The following is a 22,857-nucleotide window of genomic DNA, read 5'->3' as shown; positions in this document are numbered from 1 at the left end:
TAAGTATCCATTCAGAAGCTATCTTTATCCTTATAAGAGTCTAAAACAAAACATCAAGGCAATACTGCATGCTAAATTTGTTACTCTTGATGTTATAAATTACTGAAAAAAATCATTGTAGGCCTCCTTATTTATAGTCTACCTTTACTGCTGTTACCTCTCTGGAGGCAGAAACAAGAGGCTTTGGGGACTAGAGTTAGAAAAGACGGGGGAAGATAAGAGTTTTGAGAAGGACAGGAGATTCAGGGACTAAAGAAACTGACTTTAGAAGGAGCTAAAGTGACACATAATGGCAGGTACCTGTTACAGTCACTGAAATGTTAAATTATGAATGCTATAGTTATAACCACAGTTATTTTTGTGGCCCAGCAGCTCTAGAATTCTAGGTATAGGGGAAAATTAAGGTGATGGAAAAGCTCAGGTGCTACCAGATACAAAGGAAAGAATTAAATTCTGCAAGTTGTTGAACAAACAAGTAATGAAACAAACAAAAAACAACTCTGCTTAAACTTTAAGTACATAATCAGAATAAAGAGATGCGTTCTGCACTAAAGCATCCCAAATTATTAATGGCGTATACTCTGTAATTGCTAGTTCATAAATTATTGCAATTTATAATAGCACTCATTAGATTTCTGAATTTCTTCATATCTGTTAGATTCTAAAATTCTAAAAGCAATTGGTAAGTTATAGTGATCTACACTCAGTTGTTTATATTGATCTTTATTCTCTATCTGACATAATTTAAGGACATAAACAATAACCTTCTCGCCTTCCACGATAAGGCCCCATAGATGTTAGGACAGACTTGGCTGGCTGAGAGTCTTTGAGCAAGGGTCACTAAATTTATCTAAGCCATAGTTTCCTCATCTGAAAATGAGAATAATCCCTATTTTACAAGGGTACCATAATGATTAAAACAGTTACACACACACAGATGCACATGGAGGGGAGGAAGGGTGCAAAGCATCTTGCATTGTTCTTGCAACATACTAGGTGAGTATTCAAGTGTCATATTCCTTCCCATTTTAGGTATCAATTGCTTACAGGCTAGTATATATGTCTATGGAACCACGGAGCAGGTAGAACCTGGGTTAAATTTACTTGCCAAGAGCCTTATGCCTCATCTAGAGTAGCTTAAGTGGCCCAAAGATGGCAGGAAGTAAAGAAAAAACAAAACCCATTAAGGAGCCTAAATAATCTAAAACTGGGTAATCAGCCCCTGAAAATTTTTGAGTAGGTAAGAAATATATATCCTGGGCCGCTGTAAATGCCAAAGACTCATTAAATCAGATTCCAAGGAAAAAGAAACCATGGAACACTTTTTATAAAGTCTGGAAGGTGCTAAATGACACATTCCTCCACATGTAACTTTAGTGGAACTTTTTTTCTGGTTGCTTGGATGTAGATCCTTGAAATGCTTTATGCTGTGCTTTAAGTTTAGTATTACTGATGTCTCAGAATGAAACTCATTAAAATAAGCTAATCACGATTTGAGATGCTTCCTCACTTTATAAGTTAGCTACATTAGTAAAATTCAAACACACTCTTGGCAGAAGACTTCAATTGTTTGTGATGAAACTCTGACTCATAATCTAATCTGTGTCAGGCCCCTGGCTGGGACTGACAGGGGTAGAAAACACTGATGAAGCAGCATGTTCTTCCTTGGGGAAGCGGAAAGCTCCAATTCCTTGGGCCCATAGGCCTCTCTGCCCCTATCCTATACTGCTTTGCACTGGTGGCATTTTCTGGCTAATTAGCCTTACAGCTCCCATGAAGAGTGTAGGGTGCTAACTTCAAGGCTGGTTCCCAAAATGTTTCTTTATATTCCCCCAGGAAATAGGTTTGAAAGCTTAGCCAGGAATACTGATGCTGCTTAAGGTGTGAATCAGGAAAATGAAGTGTGACTGATTGCGGCAGGGGCTGTGTGGCAACTCCCAGCAGAGATCTCTGTAGGCTTTCGGTTTAACAATGCTCATAAACTACTTCAGAGAAGTCAATTATCTTGGAGATACAACACAAAATTTGCAGATTTGTCAAAGCTCTTGGATCATAATTCCAAGTTACTAAACTTAGAGAAAACTCAACACTCTTGCTAAATATCTCAGTAAAGGCAAATTCCTAAAAGCTGTTCAAGGGTAGAAATACTGCCTCCTCTTTTAACACCCTTCAAAAAAAAAATGTCAGAAATGTTGAACAAAAATGTTGAGTAAGTACACTCAACTACTTACATTACTGCTTTAACATCACCTTTGATTTAGAAGAAATTTAATTTTCCTTCTTTTTTATAGTGTTAATTCCCTACCAACATACCTTTGTAAAGAAAAGCCTACATATTATTCCTTTTACCTGGGCAGTCTCTTCCTCTTGCTTCCTCTTCTCCTCTTCAGTCTCCACCAGCCTCTGTTTGGTCAAAAGGAGCTCTTTATTCAACACATCTGCCTTGTCTTCTGCCTGCAAATCATGGTGCATCACAGTCATACATCACAGTCATACAGAGGGTAAAGAAAGTGTGTGGAAATCTTCTCCAAACCCAATCTTCAGTTGCTGTTCCAAAATTATTGCAAGTCATTATTTTCCCTCCTAGCTCAACCAAGCGATGGCTGCTTTCACTGAATGCCAACTATGTGCCATCTAGTTGGCACACATTATTTCTAATCCACACACCAACAATAATTTTACAGATTATGACAGTGAGGTTTGGAAAGATCCAACAAACTGTCTGGGGTCACACATCTAATAGAGTCATGATCTGAATTCAGATTTGAATAACATCAAAGTCCATCCTCCTTCTAAATGCTTCTTACAGATTTTTAGATGTTACAGCAGCACTCACTCTGTGTAGATGGATCTGATGAAGGGGTAGAGCCTCACACAGAAACTTCCAACTGGTGGAGAATGGGGGTTGACTCAGAGAGGGGAGCAGACAGGGTGGTCTGAGGACAACAGTTAGGTGGCAAATTCAAAGACTAGCTGAGGTAAACCTGCCCACATGGCCACTCACACAGGGCAGTGAGTCTAGTAAGGAGAAATCAAGACCAAAAACCCATGATAGAGAGAGCCATGAAGAAAATGGAAATATGGACCAGGAACCCAGGAAGAAAAGATCATATTTCTAGAATGATGATGTCTATTTAACACGTCAGGCTCTCACCTTTTAGGCCTCGGCTTCAAGTTCACATGGCAATGAAGCATGCCCTCAGCCCTGGCCCACTCACCCTCATCTAAGTTAGCTCCCCTATCTAAATCTCTCATATTTCCCTTAATAGGACTGTAATGACAACTTACACATGGGATTTATTTGTCTTGCCCACTAGGCTTTAAGCTCCAGGAGACAAGAACTATATCTCTTTTGCTCATCACTCTATCCCAAGCACCAAGCCCAATGCCAAGTACAGAATAGGTGCTCCCTAAGTACTTGGTGAATGAAGAGGTGTGGCTAAATCATTGCAGATGCAGACTGCATGCAGTGGAGATGGCAGAAGGCCACAGGATGAGTTCAGCAGAGAGAACCCAGACACAGAGGAGAGGTGATTATGTGAAGAAGCTATCCCTGGCTGACAGCAGCAAAATGTTATCCAAATAATGGTGAAAACTGGCCAGGTGGCCTTCTGTCCGTCTTCTGCCATATCTCCCACATGTCCAGATGGGCCAGGCCAGCCCAGTCTGCTGAGGACTGGCCAAGCGGCCTTCTGTCTGTTTTCTGCCATATCTCCTGCATGTCCAGATGGCCAGGCCAGCACAGTCTGCTGGTGACTGTAGAGAAACTGCATTCCAGCTGCTCTGCTTGCCCTGTCTTCTGGCTCCTGATGGCTCATAGCCCAGTGGTTAGAGCTTTGTTTGCAGATCATTTGAAACCGTTGGGTAGTTAAGGCGAAAAAGTCCCTTAAAAGTCTTTAAGACTCTAAAAATTGCTCTGATGCATTAGATTTTAGGGGGGAAAATCTAACAGCAAATTAACAACTAAAATGAGAGGTAGACCTTGAGAATGCAATATGAACACTGCAAGTCAAGTTTTCATAAGTTGTAAGTCACCTGATGTACATCATGAAAGGATGTGGCATAAAGTACGGCATTTTAAAAGAAAACAAAAAGAGAAAAATAAATAAACCATGGAAGCACAAAGCTTCCATTCTAGAGCCCCAAGCCAGATGACTGACTGAGGTTACTCACAAAGCAGGGAGACCCTCCCCAAAGTCTCTGACAGATAGGCACAGAGTGGCACTTTGAGAGCAGCTGTACAGCCGGGTGCGGTGGCTCACATCTGTAATCCCAGCACCCTGGGAGGCCGAGGCAGGCTGATCACGAGGTCAGGAGATCGAGGCCATCCTGGCTAACACGGTGAAACCCTGTCTCTACTAAAAATACAAAAAAAATTAGCCGGGCATGGTGGCAGGTGCCTGTAGTCCCAGCTACTCAGGAGGCTGAGGCAGGAGAATGGCGTGAAACCAGGAGGCGGAGCTTGCAGTGAGCCGAGATCTTGCCACTGCATTCCAGCCTGGGCGACAGAGCGAGACTCCGTCTCAAAAAAAAAAAAAAAAAAAAAAAAAAACAAAAAACAATTGTACTGCTCATTTCAGTGTTCTTAAAAACTGAACCAACTCTCTCCCTGTAACTGCAGCCCACTGGTTCAAGTTCTACCCCAGAATGTTTGAGCCCTGCTAATAAAGAAGACTGCAACTAAGCCTTCCTCTTACAGGACCCACAGCAATTTCCACTTTGTGAACAGACTGATCCTTTCATAATGTTCATCATGATACTGAAATAAATGTTTTTTTTTCAGTTTGGTCTCTTGGAGAGCCATCTAAAATTTTAACATTTTATGAAAATGTTTTAAAGTAAATGCTGGCCAGGCGCGGTGGCTCACGCCTGTAATCCCAGCACTTTGGGAGGCTGAGGTGGGTGGGTCACCTGAAGCCAGGAGTTCGGGATCAGCCTGGCCAACATGGTGAAACCCCGTCTCTATTAAAAATACAAAAATCAGCCAGGCATGGTTTTGGGCACCTGTAATTCCAGCTACTCAGGAGACAGAGGCAGGAGAATTGCTCGAAACCAGGAGATAGAGGTTGCAGTGAGCCAAGATCGCACTATTGCACTCCAGCCTGGACTACAGGGCTAGACTGTCTCAAAGAAAAAAAAAAAAAAAAGAAATGAAAGAAAAAGAAAAGAAAAGGGGGAAAAACACTTCCCCGAGGAATTTTTTTCAAAAACACCTAAATGTTTATGCTAAGAAGACCTATTATTTTTATTTGCACATTTTCTGCTGAACAGTCTTCATTAGGTCAAGATTAAGGCAACTTCACTTATTTCTACTGTTACCATATACAACATCTGCAGCAATTGTTGTGGGTCCTATAGGGAAGAGTCCAGTTTTCCAGGAAGCTTAATTCACAGTTTCTCCTCTTATGTTAAACAGAAAAGTAGGAGCAATTGTTCTGTTCATCAAAGTAGGGCCAGATCTGAAATAACTTGAGTATCCCTCTAACAGTGGTCTTTTGAATTTTTGTACAGCCAACCACTATACCTCACTTAAGTAGGAATTAATTTTAATGTTAATGAATGAAATGCTAAACACAAATTCTACCTTTGAGCCCAAATTATAAAGCCTTTCAAATTCTACCTTTGAGCCCAAATTATAAAGCCTTCACCATAATTTTTTTTTTTTTTTTTTTTTTTTTGAGACAGAGTCTCGCTCTGTCACCCAGGCTGGAGTACAATGGTGCGATCTTGGCTCACTGCAACCTCCACCTCCCAGGTTCAAGAGATTCTCCTGTCTCAGCCTCCCTAGTAGCTGGGATTACGGGCGCATGCCGCCACACCTGGCTAATTTTTTGTATTTTTAATAGAGACTCGGTTTCACCGTGTTCCCCAGGCTGGTCTCGAACTCCTAAGCTCAGGCAATCCACCTGCCTCGGCCTCCCAAAGTGCTAGGATTACAGGCGTGAGCCACTGCACCAGACAGCCTTCACCATAATTTGATAAGATTGAAACACTGTCATTATCAAGTCTAAATACTTAACAATATCTTATAATGTCTCATTGATACTGAAAGTTCTAATTGCAATCTAAGGCTTCTGCTATATATGTATGAGAGAAACAAGCATTGCAATGTGTGATTTAATCATGAATCAACCAATAACCTCAGAAAAGACTCAGCCCTAATATCAGAAATGAGGATCTCTGATAAATGATTTCTGAAAGAACTAACCAGGCCAGTTGTTCAACTTAAAATAAAACAAAATAATTTTCCACTTAGTCCATGTAGCTTCTGGTCTAACAGAACTTGCTATGGTGAGAGGGAACCTAGACCCCTGGTCCTCAGCAGGACAGTACTAATCATGTCTCTTCTCTTTTGTTCCTTGCAAATAGGGAAGGACAGGAAAGGCCTGAAAGCAGATAGCAAACAGAAACTGAAATGGAGATGTTGCACCTTTTTTTCACTTCTAATCACTGAGAAATCTTTATTTAAGGAATCCGAGAGAGGGCGAGTTCTCAAGAGAGGAAGGCTCTGCCAGAGGGAAAAGCTGAAGAGCCTTTGGTGCCCAGGAAGCCTGAAATTAGCACTAAAATGGTCAGAGTAAGAAATGATTTATTTTTGCAAAGAACCTAATTTCCTAATTAGTGTTTGTTTGCTTACATATTGTCTTAAATACAATCTACTTTTATATTTGTTTAAAGTTTGCCAGTGTTTTGCTATTTTAATTAAGAGATCTGATTTTCATGAACTGGGAATGGGAAAGTACTGGGCAAACTAGGTGAAGGCCTGCAAAGCCAGTACTTTTCACTCTCAGGCTAGGGCCCTTCCTAGAAGACTGGTGGGGCAGGTCACTTCAACTGCAGGGACAGCTTTTTGGTAAGCAAATAAACCCCAATGAGGAGGAAACTGCAAAATCAGAAGTTAGGAGGAAATATGCATGAAACAGCAGTTTTTATTCTTTCATCTAGATTCTTTCATCTAGATAAAAAGCTCCCAAAGGGAGGGTCCAGGTCATATTTACTTTTCTTAAAAGAGAGGGAAAGAGAGTCAAGGAGGGAAGAGAGAAGGCAGAGGAAGAATGAAGGTCTGATGGAACCTTTTCTTCAGGGGCTGTTCTAGCACTCACATCATGAGCTACCCTGGTACTCAATAATCAATTACTTCAGGAATACCTATAATGGCAGTCACTCCAGACTGACTCACATAAAGGGTTCTCTTGGTGAAGAAATGATTTTTAAGATAATAATTTTTTTCTGATTATTAAAGTTATATATATTATTTAGTATTATATTCATATATAATATGCATATTATAATGTTCATTATTTTTCTGATTTTTAAAAGTTCCAATGCTCATTTTTAGTTAACCTATGGTGGTTAAGTAATTTAGGGTCTTTCTATAAATTCTAAATGGGAAAAAACTATAAAGATGAATATAAAAATTATATTTAATCTTATCACCCAGAGATACCTAGCAGTAACATTTTGATGTATTTCCTTGTGGGCTTCTTCCCTATCTAGGTATACTATGGTCCCCTTCCCTATAGGATGACCCAATGCCAGCCAGTAGCCCTTGAAATTTAGATGCAAACATTATAAATGTTTACTGTTTACAGAAAAAAAAAAGTATTTTTTAAAAAAATACTTTATCATTATTTTCCCATTAACAAAAATTATTCCAGAAAGACATTTTACAGTCAAACTGTCATTCTCCCCTACTAGTGAACATAGATAAAATAATATTTCTATTTTTCATTCTTATAAGTAACACTGCAGTAAACAACCTTGTATATACATTTTTTTTAAACAGATCTTTTTTTTTTAGGATAGCTTTACAAGTCAGAGGATCTCTAGTTTCCTCATCTATATAGTTTCCTCATTCATGAAATGGAGGATTAAAATAATAACTGCTTCCTGGAGTCATTAGGGAGATTAAATGAGATGATGTTTATAAATTGCTTTATTTAGTGCTTGGCACATAGTGGGTACATAGTAAAATTTAATTTTATTATTGCTTAAACCTTTTAACGTCTTAACACATATTACCAACTACATTTGCCAAACAACTTTGAAACTCTCCTTAGCTCATTTCACTGCATCCCCACTGAATCCAACTGTTTAAAAATTGTTTCATTTAGTCAGCCATCATAAGAAAATTATTAATGGATAAAAGATTCAAAATGGCAGAATCAAGTGTGAATCAAGACCATTTGGAAAGTTAACATAGAACCAAGACTTTCATTATAGCACTGACTTATCTCAACAGTCTCATGAATACAAAAATATGACCACTGAGGTAAGGCTGAATTGACCCTGATTGAATGGAGATCCGGCTACCTTCTTTGGTTCTGACTCTCCTAGTCACATATTTCTCATACCACTTCTCACAGCTTCCAAATGGGTGGGCTGAATGAGGTTTGTGGTTAACAGGGCCACAACTTTTTAAAAAACCATTCTCTGGGCAGCTTTTTCTACCTTCCATATCCTGTGTCCCAAACAACACAGTTTTTGTTTTTGTTTTTGAATTCCCTTTAGTGCCAGCTCTCTCAGCTACATCTAACATTTAATGAACACATACTATCGAAGTGTTTTACTTATTTAATTGTTATATCATCTCTATGAGATAGACACCTTTTTATACCTATAGACAGCTTAAGAACTGTCCAGGGTCATATGGTTCACAGTGGTGGTGCCAGCATTCACAATCAGGCAGTCTGGCTCTCAGCCACTCAGATGCCTATCAATCTAACAATCCAACTCTTAATGTAGGTACTTCATGTAAAAGTTCACATTTATTATGGAGAATAATTCTTACTGGAACAAAAAGTAAGGCATCTACTGTTAGAGTGGCATTAGTACAGGCATATTCTTGGTGACTGATGTTCTCAGATAATTATGCTGACAGCCATTGGTTCAGGAAAGGTATCAACAAAGACATAACAGAGTTTAGAGGTATAAAGAAAGTATGTCACACATGCTATTTAGAAATGACCCAAACCTTTCTCAAAGGCTTATGTTTTCCATGGTCTCCAATTAACAGACTGTCCCTGCCACTTGTCCATTCCTCAAGAACAAAGTCAAGAACAAAGCAAGTTTGTGGGGGCGGTGATGAGGGCAAATCGGTCTTTGCCCTGAGGAAGTCATCACAGTCTCATTTCTAAGGATTACCTGATCCAAGTCATTCCGTAGAGCAATTTTGCTTGTTACTAGTTCATGGGCAAGGTCATCATTCTCTTGTTCCAACCTCATGCTGGCCTCCTGTAATCTTCGGTTCTCCCTCTGCAGAAGAACAATAGCCAGAGGTGGGCATTAGTGTCTGGACATACAGAAACGAACAGAACTGGTGAGGAAAAACAAGCAACAAAGTGAACTTTCAAAGGTGTAAAAAGGAGAAGGCGCAAGTGGCACAGGAAGGCAGGATTGCTGTCTGGGAAACAACAGTGAGTTTAGCTAGCAATGCAGATGCGGTTCTCTACCCGGTGAAACTGGTCCCTTAAACTCTCAAGATGGAACTTCATTATAAAAAATGTGCCACAAAGAACAAACTTTCTGAGCATATCCCCCCCAATCCTGTGAGGTTTTTACATAGATCTAGAACACAGACACAAACAATTCTTTATTTGAAACATGCACGGTAGTCTCACCCTTGACCTCAAGAGAAACCACAAGACACAGTAGGAATGAAACAGGGGAAAACCACCAGACATTTCTTCAAATTGTTTTTCTAAGACAGGGTTCATATTGAGTATATTTAAGAGCTCTAAATCAAGAATCATGACACATGGGTTCATGACTTTGCTAACAGCTGACATTTTTATTCTTTGAGTAAGAATATATTTACTTTTCTGAACACCTATTTTTGTGTGAGAGCAACAGTCATAAGATATCTAGTTTTTTTGTTTTTTAAAAAATTTCAGATTAAAACATTCTGGGTAAAATAAATTACTGAGGATTTCTGCTCCCAACCTTGAAAAATCTGAAACAAAGTTACATGATAAAAAAACAAACAAAAAAACGAAACAAACAAACAAACAAAAAGAAAGAAAAAAAAAAAACCAAGTCACTAATTCTTATGAAGCAAGGCCTTTCCTTAACTAAACACTATGAACTTGGTATGTTCACAACTATTTTCAGAATAGCTATTTCATGTCTTCCATTCCAAAGTATCAAAATTGCTTTCTTTGCTACTGTTAACAGTTATAGGAGATTCAAAAGAGAGCTGACAGGAAAGACTAATGTCATGAGACCTTCCTGTTTTTCAGATTTACACGTCTAACAGTGTTTTCTGCAAAGGTGGCAAAAACTCAGACAAAGCAGTGACAAAAAACTAGAAGACAAATATATGTTTTGGAAGATAGTTTATCATAGCATACCAGGTAATGTGAAGTTAATTGTATCTTCTATATAACAACCTGGTGTTTGTTATATTGAAAGAGAAGACAATTTCTTTCTTTTTCCTGTTTTTTAAAACAAGGGCTAAGAAACACATGGTAAGGGCAAAGTCTGAGGCTTTCACAGAGGCAGAGGATCCATAAACAGGGAAGGCTGTCAGAGAAGTTAAAGGACAAAACCGCACCTTGATTATACCAGCCACCAGGGCCCATTTCTGTCTTTTTTTTTTTTTTTGGAAAAAAATAAGAATAGTTGGAGAATGTTAAAACATTATTGAAAAACATATCGACTAAAAAAGATAAAAACAATCCCAAATCACTTTAATACTTTAAATAAATTCACAATAGAATTCTACTCAGTGTTAAAATACTGGAGAAGGCTGGGTGCAGTGGCTCATGACTGTAATCTCAATACTTTGGGAGCCTGAGACCGGAGGATTGCTTGAGCCCAGGAATTCAAGACCAGCCTCAGCAACATGGCAATACCCCATCTCTACAAAAAAATTTTTAAAAATTAGCTGGGTACAGCTGGGCACAGTGGCTCATGTCTGTAATCCCAGCACTTTGGGTGGCTGAGGTGGGTGGACCACTTGAGGTCAGTTCAAGACCAGCCTGGCCAACATGGTGAAACCTCATCTCCACTAAAACAAAACACAAAAATTAGATGGGTGTGGTGATACACACCTGTAATCTCAGCTACTCGGGAGGCTGAGGCAGGAGAATTGCTTGAACCTGAAAGGCAGAGCTTGCAGTGAGCCAGAATTGCACCACTGCACTTCAGCCTAGGTGACAGAGTTAGTGAGACTCCATCTCAAAAAAAAAAAAAAAAAAAAATTAGCTGGGTGGTGTGGTGTGCACACATGATCCCAGCTACTGGGGAGGCTGAGGTTGGAGAATCACTTGAACCCAGGAAGTCAAGGCTGCAGTGAACTATGATCATGCCACTGCACTCTAGCCTGGGTGACAGAGTGAGAACCTGTGTCAAAAAAAAAAAAAAGAAAGAAAGAAAATATAATAACAGGAAATGCTTACGCTGCCTTCCTTGTAGGGGGGAAAAAAACCCCAATAAATAATTGGAGAATCTCATTGTAACAATATAAACAACCAATATTAACTGTAGGTAGTGAATTTTCTTTATTGTTGTCCTTGTTCTTTTAAAAATGTTTTCAAGTTTTCTACAATGAATATATATTTGTAATAGGATTTAAAAAATAGTTTTATTAAGAAAAAAAGGAATTCAGAATTTTAATTCCATTGGAAGGGATAAGATGCCAAAATGAGAAAAAAAAATTTAAGTCCACTTCTGTTAGAAGGTCATATTCTACACAAAACCATATTGGATCCTCCTTTTTGACCAAGATATAATGTAACCCCTCAGAAGTGGTGCCTTGTGAGGAACTCTTTCCCTAGATGTTCCTGAGAAGACTGTGAATGCTCTTGTAGAGGCAACTTGTACTCATCAGATTCTGTCTGTTCCCCTCAATCTACAGAAGTTACACCCTCCCACAGAAGCATAATAAATGTGGAGACTAAAAAACAAATTTCTAAAAAGCCAGAGCTTCTACAATGAAATCTTTGAATCTTTGCCTAAGCAACACAATTTCTAGCAGGGGCTGGAGAGTTAGCCTTTATTTCTGATATATCTATTACTCCTTTTCATGGAAAAAAAACATATAGGAAACTTAGATTAAAAAAAAAGATTTGAGAAGCTTTTTCAATAAATTTCCTCCCAGCCAGGAAAGAGTAACAATACCAGCACAATTTCAACATGACATATTTCACAATGCAGGCTGCTTAGCCAGGGAAGAGATTTTTCTCATTTCTTGATAAATATCTTCAAGAAACTAAGATAAGACTACTTCAATAGGTATTCCTGAGTTAAGTATCCTATTGCTATTGAAATTGTACTTGTATAACCCCAAAGTACAAAAAGCTCCCTCGACTATTATGTACATTACATTCATTTGGCACAAGTGAAAATGTTGCCACTACCAGTTTTTCAGGTTACAATTACATGCTTAGAATTGAGTTAAAGTAACCTCCAAGTAAAGTCATAGGATGTTCATGGAAAAGTACTTTGTTCAAGTATTTAGAAATCATACCAGGTAGCTACTTCACTGTTGATTAGAGATAAATGTCTGATGGATTATCTGTTATATAAGAAAGAGGTGTGAGTTCAGCTGAAATTCTGACTAGTAACTTCTCATTACAATGACTGTTGCAACTGAAACCCTTCCTTACAGACACACAGCTAAAGGGGCAAGGGCAAGGGTGGGAAAAGATTTGGGAGAAACTGAGTGTCTCAGAGTCCCTGCAAAGCAAAATAGCCTAGAGGGCACGCCTACTGGCTTTTGCTTTAGCAAGAAGCTTCAATTTAGTGTCTGCAAAGCAAGCAGCACAGTGGGAAGTGTCAGACTCCTGCTCTGCACTCACAGACAAGTGGGAAAGCAAGCTACGGGGCCAAAAATGCAGTATCATCCTCCAAAGTATGAACCCAGGGTGAGTGCTACTGAGCACTACAGTGAGACCCTGCTACTGAGATGGAGATTTTCTACAAAGAACTTGCCCACACTTACCTACTGAGGGCTAAACAGAGCTTATATTAACGTGGCTGTCTTTTACAGTTCTTCTCAAGGAGCCAAAACTGTTTTCAATACTGACCAATTCTAGAAAAAGTTTGCCTGTATACTAGAATGGAGAAGAGAGTTTGGTTTTGATGGTCTTGGAAAAGGCAGTAACCCTGCTTGGTTCATTTTGAAATGTTGACAAGGGTTGCCCATGGAAGACAGACTTAAAGTCAGCCCCAATAACCTCAGTCAGCCCAGAGAAATTCACATGCTGTAAGTTTGCACAAGCAGATGTGCTAAATGCTCAAAGCCTGTAAACAAAACAGGCAAACTGGCTCCCTCTTGCCTTTCAGAAAAGATTACAGGAGACACTGCTTACATAACTCTTAAAACTCACATCACACTGTCTGAAACATATACTCCCCATCTCACACAACTGACACCGTTTGAACAAAAAGCAGATAACAACTGTCCTCATAGTTTCACCCCTTATGGATAGGAGATGTACAGCTGGGAAAGTTTGGTTAGTAACTTTTGGGAGGAGGATACTGCATTTTTCAAAGAGACAGACACTGATGTTACAGACATACATAGATTAAAAAAAAAACTTACCTCCTCAAAAGTCATAGACCAACTACTGTTTTCAATCATAGGTACAAAGACAATTAAAAAAAAAGAATATCCAATGAAATTGAACACCTACTAAAATATTTATGAAATGGCAATAACAAAAACAGACACTTCTTAATGCTCTTTTGCTTTTCCTTTGAGTGTCATATAACTCTAAGTTCTCTCTGTGACCGCAAACATTCAATGGAACAAAGATACTTGAGGTAGCCAGTGGGCAAGTCTCAACTCAGGAAGACTCATATCTTCAAACTCCTCCCTCTCCACATTGCTGTTTACAGTTTGCATGAATGACTAAAATGCTGTATGTGGGACTATTAAGGAACTACGGTGTGAGGTGTTGATACTGTGTTGTTAAAGCTGGGTGGAAGGAACTTCCTTATATGACAAGGTCAGAAATCTTGCAAAATAGTTCATCTTCAGACAAAAGAATGAAATTGCTGGGCAGGGCAATGCAAAAGAAAAATGGATCCTGGATCTCATGTGTACCTGGGGGCTGAAGTCTGGGTGAAGCGGTTCAAGGGATTGTGAACGTCATTTATTTCAAGATGAGAAACCAGAGAAATGTGAACTGTTAATTAAAAGTAAAGAAACTAAGCTTTAAAGGAAAAAATGACGAGGAGGGAGGCGGCTTTATAAACCCTAGCTCAATATTTTGGGTGTTGTCTGCTGCTATGATGAATTCTTGGCACATGCTTTTAAAGACTTTTAAGGGTCAGGAGAAAATGTTTTCCTAAAAGACTCAGTGCAAATTTATTAGCAACAACACACTCAACTCTCACATATTTTCTTTTGGATACCTCTTTTAAAAGAGTTGACAGCTATCATATTCAAGTTTTCAAATGCCTACAGATAAAATGTTTAAATATCTATGTTGTCCATAATGAAGATCTGAGAAAGAAAATATGGATATTTGAAGGTTTTGTGCTTCCCTCCTTTACTCATCACATCCAATTTTATCTTTGTAGTGGAAAATTTCAAATTTTTAAATGTCAAACTAAAAACAAAATCTTGTCAGTGATAAATGACAGCTGGCCAAACAGACTGCATTTCTTTCAGCGCTTAAAAAACTATCTTAGGTTATACTCTTGCACAGGGGTCAGCAAACTTCTAGTGTAAATTGCCAGAAAGTAACTATATTAGGCTTTGCAGGTCGCATGGTCTATGTTGAAATTTCTCAACTCTACAAATGTCATACAAAACCAGCCATACACTATAAATAAATAAACAGGTGTGGTTGTGTTCCAATAAAACTTGGTTTACAAAAACTGGCAGTGAGCCAGATTTGGCCTATAAACCACAGTCTGCAGATCCTTGCTCTACTCTAGTACACAAATCAAATTTTCAAAAAGCAGATGCATTCTAGATGATATAGAAACATATTAGTGTCAGGTAATTTTCTCAGTAATACTTAAACAGAAAAGAAAACTTTCTAAAAATTAATGAAAGTTTCTTGAAAACTCTGAAGATCACCAGTAAACATACTAGAAATTCTTAGTGTTCCTAAAGCATATTCTTCCCCCAAGGGTTAAGTATAAGGGACTCTAGCAGACCAGCATTGTTAGAAATCGCCCACTCCTTATTAGCTATATTGCTTGAGAAGCCAAAAGGATTTAGTTTTGCATCTTCACCATCCTATAACAATGAACTCTCTGGATTATCCAAGCTCAAAGAGAAAGTGGAAGACTTCTGAAGTTTATCATTAAGTTATCATAGGCATATATAAACCATCCTTGTGTCTATTACTATTCCTTAAAAGCACATTATTTCATAACATACTATTTCCAAAAGCCAACACAGTTTTTGGGATATGAAAAAATAATAAAATGTAAGTTTATTTGCTATGGCAGAAAAAAAATTTTTTTTTTTTTTGAGACGGAGTCTTGCTCTGTCACCCAGGCAGGAGTCCAGTGGCACGATCTCTGCCCACTGCAACCTCTGCCTCCCAGGTTCAAGAGGTTCTCCTGCCTCAGCCTACTGAGTAGCTGGGACTACAGGTTATGTGCCACCACACCCAGCTAATTTTTGTATTTTTAGTAGAGACAGGGTTTTACCATGTTGGCCAGGTTGGTCTTGAACTCCTGACCTCAAGTGATCCACCTGCCTTGGCCTCCCAAAGTGCTGGGATTACAGGTGTGAGCCACCACACCCAGCCAGAAAAACATTTTTCAAAGATGGATTCACTTATCTTGACTCCCCTGAGTAAGAAAGGGTCCAACAGTTTTTTTAAAAAGTCTACTCCCTCTTTTTTATAGGTAAGAAATGTATACTAATTTAAACTTTTATTTGTCAAGTTTAAAAGAAATGTGAAAATTACTCTAAACTATTGCATTAGATATTTAAGGATGGCAAAAAAGTACAATTAAGCTTTATTTCAAATATTTCATTTGTATTATTTTTACTATGCATAATAGCTTAATTTGAAATTACATGTAGGAGCAATTGCTCTACAAAAACCAGTATGTGCAAGAAAAAACTCTGTGGAAACATAGAGGAATCATTTTCTTTGTTTAAATTACATTTTGATTTTAAAAATTACTTTGTTTAATCTCAAGAATGAGGTTAAACATTCTAAATTTAATTGTACTGAACATGGATAAGACACTTCAATTAGAAATTATGTATTTATAATAATGTCTGTGTCCCAAACCCAAGAGAGTTTAAGCATTCCAGATTCTTTTAGTATTTTCCCATCTAGAACAGGTAACCTTTATTATGCTTTGGGAGATTCACTGAATTTAATTAACTAGCTGTGTGTGTGTGTGGGGGGGGGGTGTATTTTTATTTTTATTTTTTGAGACGGAGTCTCACTCTGTCGCCCAGGCTGGAGCGCAGTGGCGTGATCCTGGCTCACTGTAAACTCCGCCTCTTGGGTTCACACCATTCTCCTGCCTCAGCCTCCCAAGTAGCTGGGACTACAGGTGCCCACCACCACGCCTGGCTAATTTTTTTTTATATTTTTATTTATTTATTTTTTAGTAGAGATGGGGTTTCACCATGTTAGCCAGGATGGTCTCGATTCTCCTGACCTTGTGATCTGCCCACCTCTGCCTCCCAAAGTGCTGGGATTACAGGCGTGAGCTGCTGCACCTGGTCGTTTCTTTTTTTTTTTTTTTTTTTTTTTTGAGACAGAGTCTGGCTCTATTGCCCACGCTGGAGTGCAGTGGCATGATCTTGGCTCACTGCAACCTCCCCCTCCCAGGCTCAAGCGATTCTCATGCCTCAGCCTCTCGAGTAGCTGGGACTACAGGTGCTTGCCAGCACACCCAGCTAATTTTTATATTTTTTAGTAGAAGCAGCATTTCACCATGTTGGCCAGGCTGGTCTGGAACTCCTGACCTCAAGTGATCCACCCACCTCGGCCTCCCAAAGTGCTGGGATTACAGGCAAGAGCCACCATGCCCGGCCAATTAGCTGTGTTTTTAAGCCTTAACTCACATTTGTGCAAATAGTTATTTAATTAAACCAGAAAAGCATATCGTTCTCCAAAGGTAGATGAAGGCTACAGATCTCCAAAAAGTACCAGCAACTGATACCATCACTAGAAAACTTTCCTCACAACAGAAACAATTCATCTCTTTAAGATAGAAAGTATTTTAATTTCTGAAATTGGTAACTTTGCTTATTAAGGGCTTAGTTACTAGTTTCTAAAATATACTAAAACAGCTACACATATTGATAAATGTGTGTCTTCTGGGAACCTGTATAAAAATGAAAACATGCTTATTCTACAGTCAAATCTTTATCCTAATTTCACTTCATTAGAAATCAATCACTAAATTTACAAACCAAAATGTTAGAGTAGACAAAGAATTTTACACAAACCTGGTCAGGTGCAAGTTAAGAAAGAGGATAAAAGAGATTTGAAATAAACATTCTACATTGTTCTTTCAAAAAAGTTTCCTTTCTGTCTCTTGGAATCTAGTCATGAAGAAAAACAGAAAGAGTAAAGGCTATAAAGCAGTCATTATGGTGTTCACTGAGTTTAAAATATAAACTGATGCCAAGACCAGGTAGCACAGGCAGTGCATATATGTGTGTGTATTACCTACTTATATATGTTTATATGTGTGTATACATATAATGTACAACATATGTTCTACCTGGAAATTAATGGGCATCACTAAAAATTAATGTACCACCCACTGTGTTGGCTTTTATTCTGCAAATATGGACACATATAAGATCAATAGTCACTAATTAGCTCTAATTTCAACAGGAAGCTCTCCCTCCTGCTTCTAAACAGGTACCTCTGGTGTGATTTAGGGTTCATGAAAGGAAAAGGGTAGGCTAAATGACAATCCTCCTGGAATATTCTGCTTTTTTTTTTCTTTGGAGATGTAATTCACATACCATAAAATTCATGTTTTTAAAATGTGCAATGTAATGATTTTAGTATATTCACAAAGTTGTGCAATCATCACTACTTCCTAATTCCAGAAGATTTTCAAGATATGTCGAGTTTTAAAATTTAAATTTATACTAACATTATTTCATCTCTTTGTGGTTGAGATTTAAGTGTTGAATAAAGGTGACTACAGCGATATAACCTAACCATGAAGATATCTGCATATGTCATAAAAATAGACATAAAACACATGTTTACATAGATGTAGCAAGAAGTATGACTGTTGAGAGCTACCTCACATTGCTGGATCTGTATTCCCACCTCTAGGTTCCCTGTGATAGCCCTTTTACATATGCCACCATGTCCAAAAGAAATAGCACTGAACTGAAATACCTCTTAAAATATCTTATTATATAACATATGTGGGCTTTAAAAAATAAATTTCCCACAACCTTCTAACTCTCTTGTCATATGGCAAGCTAGGGTGTGGAAATGACTTTTTAAGCAATATAGATTCTAATGTTGAGGAGGGGTTGTTACTGAACTGGTGCAAGTTCTCACTCAATGCCCTCAAAGATCTTCCCAAGTCAGTCTTTTAAGAGTTTACATTAACTGGGTTCCCAGTCCAAGATCTATGAATTACAAAGTGCTCATTCCCAGGACAGAGATCTTATTCTTCATAGGATTAAATTTAGAAGATGTAAAAGGTATTTTCTAACTTTGCTACTTTAATTAAGATAATTATAATATGGCTTCTTAAACTGCATATTGATCATCTTACAAACCAAATATGTTGATGGTTAGAAACTTATGTTGTTGACTGCCACCTTGAAGATGTAATTATAATCTAAGAACTATAAATTCACCAAGTGTATTACCAGGACAAATGCCTAGACATTATTAAGAGTATAGAGACATTAGATGAATGTACTGACAAGTTATCACAATAATCTAAAAGAAATAGCAATAGAGGGTATCCGATATGTGTAAATAAGAATCAACAATACTTGAACTTAAAAAGTAATGCCTGCTTTCAAAACAAGAAGTTTAATCCTACTTTGATCTCTCAATAAAAACTATACATATTGATAATCTTACATGTTATAAGTACTTTAAAAATAATGTACATCTTACTATTAATGTATACATACCTGCTTTGGCACAAAAAAGGATTTAAGACACAATAACAAGTTCAATTCCAGCCTGATTTTAAATGTACAAGTTTGGTCTTCCATTTCTCTCTTATTTTAAAGCACTCTTCACAGAATTTATTCATAATAATTGTAGTAATAAGAAAATCTGAATGATATTAGCAAAAGGAGACCTTCATTTTGGATGCTTAATAATAGTTTATAATTACTACCTTCAAGCCTTTCTAAAGCAGCATGCTATGTGATTTACATTAAAAGCTGGTTTTATTGAGGGGATGTTGGTGGTGAAAATTAGCTTCAAACATTATCTGTTAATAGTTATCTGCTATAGAAGTATGTGGGATTTTATAATCAGATCTTGAACCACTTCTATAAGCAAGGGGAGATTATTGGTTGGCAATACTTGAGAGAAATAAGAACAATCAATAAGGGACTAGAGGGGAAGACCCACATAAGGTGGCATTATTCTAGTAATAATTGCATAATCTGTAGTAGTAGGCTTCATAAAATAACAGCCATTTATTGAACACAACTATGAGCTGAGTCCTTAACATACAGCATCCCTCATCCTTGTAACAATCCATCAAGGAATCAGAAACACTATATCTTTTATAGATGAGGAAGAGGTTCAATAACTAGTCGAAGATGCTGAATGGTGGCATGGGGATTAAAACCCTCAATTTGGAGTCCAAATCCTGTGCTCTAAAAAATGAGCAAGATTTGAGTTCAGGTCTGTCTGACTACAAAACCTACATACTCCCACCATGTTCCTCTGCACACATCCCATGCTATTCAATTCAGCAACAGAGATAAGATGTTCTGTGTGACTATGCTGCCTATGTCCAGCTCTGACCACATAAAGATAACTCTAGTTACAAAAGTGGAAGTCATCCCAATGTGGGTGATTTAATTAATAATGCCACACAGTCCATTTCTTGGCAGGAGATTTTGGCACTGCTGCTCAGTGCTGAAAATACAGTATTCTTTTATCTTAGTGTATTGATATGGAGGGAGAAGGAGCTGTTACGTATCTGTGTGAGTCTGAAAAGTTAAAGCATGTTGAAGAGAGATAATATTTTACTTGGAAAAAAATAAGTTGGAAATAAGTGTTTCCCAACTTTGCATCCTGGGAACAGTGTTGCTAATTACCATTGAAGAGATTCACAATTAACGAACGTATTAAAATGAAATTATTTTGATTCTGAAACTTCATACTTTAACTCAAATATCACTGTTGTTCATAAATTCATTTGTGGAAATAAATGTTGCAACAAACACCACTACTGTGCTCAATATACCTTTGTGATTTTTATTTTTCCTTCCAAGTGAGTTGGTATTTTTAACATTTTCTACAGACAGAGGCAAGTTTGAAACATCCTTGTGTCAGTCTTGGAACAGTTCACCTGCTAAAAGTCTTTGTGGATATGACATGCACAGCTAAAACAGTACTTTGCCATTTTTCCTTTTTGTTTCATTTTTGAAAGTAGAAAGCCACTTTCTTTTTCCCCTCTCTTTCTCTCAGCTTCTTATGAAGATTCCCAGTATAAATGCAACAGCTGGAGTTACCTACAAATATACAAACTGAAAGAAAAGAAATATTATGGTTGGCTATTTGGGAGTCTCCTGAAATGAAAACATACCTGGACAGTTAGCATGATCAGAGAGCATCTAAATCAATCAAGGAAGAACAGAGGGAATTGAACTTGCCACAACTGCTGCTTTAAGAAAAAAAAAAAAAAAAAAAAAAAGGTACTTTGCTGGGAATGGTGGCTCGTGCCTGTAATCCCAGCTACTTGGGAGACTGGAGTGGGAGGATTGCTTGAGGCCAGGTGTTCAAGACCAGCCTGGGCAACACGGCAAGACTCAGTCTCATTTAAAACAAAAAAGAAGGTACTTTGATAGGTGCAACATATTTCTCATACCTTGTATCTATCCATTGGGTCTTCCTGTTGCAGCTGACTCTCTCGCATTGTCTGATATTCTTTCTCATATTTCTTCAGCTTCTTGGTTGGTACCTGCAGGGATTTGAGGAAAACCATGTTAGACAAGGACACCATTTATGAAAAAAAATTCAGGTGTGTTTGCTAGTTAAATTTCTGGCATTCTAAGGGAACATGCTCAACTCAAAGTTAGGAGAAAAATAGAGATTCCAGAGTAGAGGTTGGCAAACTTTTCCTGTAAAGGTCCAGACAGTATATATTTTAGGCCTTGTGGGCCATATAGTCTAAGTTGCAAAGATTCAACTCTGTCATTATTATACAAAACCTGCCATGGGTGATACCTAAACAAATGAGCCTGGCTGTGTTCCAAGAAAACTTAATTTACAGAAACAGGCTACAGTTTGTCCACCTCTGTTATAAATAATATTGCTGATGTCACAACCTTCTCTTGTTAATGTATTTAATAGTGCTATTAATTTTAACTTTCTTAAATATAATTCACTCATATCCTTCTATTATGTTGAAAATGAAAATTATTATTTTATATAAGTAAAAAATTGAGCTACAAGAAATATTCTAAAATGGCCTGGGCGTGGTGGCTCATGCCTGTAATCCCAGCACTTTGGGAGGCTGAGGTGGGCGGATCACTTGAGGTCAGGAGTTCGAGACCAGCCTGGCCAACATGGTGAAACCCGGTCTCTACTAAAATTACAAAAATTAGCGGGGCATGGTGGTGGGCATCTGTAATCCCAGCTACTCTGGAGGCTGAGGCATGAGCCTGGCTTGAACCTGGGAAGCTGAGGTTGCGGTGAACCAAGATTGTACCACTGCACTCCAGCCTGGGTGATAGAGCGAGACTCAGTCTCAAAAAAAAAAAAAAAGAAGAGAAGAGAAAAATATTCTAAAATGGAGTTAGTACACTGAAAACAAAGGAGGTTTTAGTGTTTGACAATGAAAACTCAAATATAGAATCATTATGCTGTATGAGATAATAGAAAGTCATCTAAACAACCCATTTATTTCTTGCTAAAATTATGTCATCCACAAAAGACAGTAGTTTACTATTTTCTGAAAAAAGACTAGATTCCTATGGACTCTTAGAATTTTAAAAATAAACAAATAAGCACAGCGTAGTATAAAAGCCCTCAGTAAACAGATATTTAACCTCTCTTAGGGGACAGTGGTGCACATCTATAGTCCCAGCTACTTGGAGGTTGAGACAGAAGAATTGCTTGAGCGCACAAGTTCCAGGCTGCAGTGCACTATGACGGCCACTTACTCCAGCCTGGGCAACAGAATGAGACCCTGTCTTTTAAAACAAACAAACAAAAAAACTCTCTTAGCCTCAGTTTCTTCATCTATAAAATAGCAGGTAAACAAAATTTCTACCTCATAATGGTGTCAGGAGAATTAAATGAGTTAACAGAGAGGTATCTAAAACAATGCCTGGTTTATGGACATTTTTAAAATTTTTTTTAAAATAAGTATTCAATCAAAATTAACGTATTAGAACTTATTCTGTTCCATAATACATATTAAATCTACTTTTAGCCTTTCTTTGGACAATCAAAGTTATAGAATTCCCTTACTTATATTATTTTATTTTAACTTTTGTAGAGATGGGGTCTGGCTATGTTGCCTAGGCTGGTCTCAAACTCCTGGGCTGAAGCGATCCTCCTTCCTCAGCCTCCCAAAGCATTGGGATTACAGGCCTGAGCCACTGTGCCTAGCCTATGATTCCTTTACACAGCAACACCTTTCCTTAATGTTTTTGTTTGGTTTAAGATTACAAACGTGCTATGTTGCAAACTTCTTGCGTACTCTGAGAAGGCAAGGATGATGTGTTGCCCTCAGTAT

General features: G+C 38.0%; 1 protein-coding gene across 27 annotated transcripts in view; it reads right to left on the bottom strand.

Moving 5' to 3' along the window:
• Positions 1 to 22,857, bottom strand: part of RABGAP1L (RAB GTPase activating protein 1 like) — an 835,789-nt gene that overhangs the window by 16,777 nt on the left and 796,155 nt on the right. For 18 of the 27 annotated variants that reach the window (NR_158982.1, XM_011510223.3, XM_047436028.1 and 15 more), the window contains 3 exons: positions 20,983 to 21,075; positions 9,145 to 9,255; positions 2,350 to 2,454 (listed from right to left, as the gene is read on the bottom strand). Coding sequence is in view for 26 of the 27 variants with exons in the window: in XM_011510223.3 (XP_011508525.1) it covers positions 2,350 to 2,454; positions 9,145 to 9,255; positions 20,983 to 21,075 (309 nt within the window). In the remaining variant the exon portion in view is untranslated. Of the gene's footprint in view, positions 1 to 2,349; positions 2,455 to 9,144; positions 9,256 to 13,546; positions 13,755 to 20,344; positions 20,642 to 20,982; positions 21,076 to 22,857 lie in introns of those variants that run through there. The other 9 variants (XM_047436050.1, NM_014857.5, NM_001366447.1 and 6 more) reach the window with 3 other exon arrangements.

This window comes from Homo sapiens, chromosome 1 (assembly GCF_000001405.40).
Source record: "Homo sapiens chromosome 1, GRCh38.p14 Primary Assembly".
Lineage (NCBI taxonomy): Eukaryota > Metazoa > Chordata > Mammalia > Primates > Hominidae > Homo > Homo sapiens.
The sequence above is the reverse complement of the archived record's forward strand: the minus strand, read 5'-3'. Positions and strand labels throughout refer to the sequence as shown.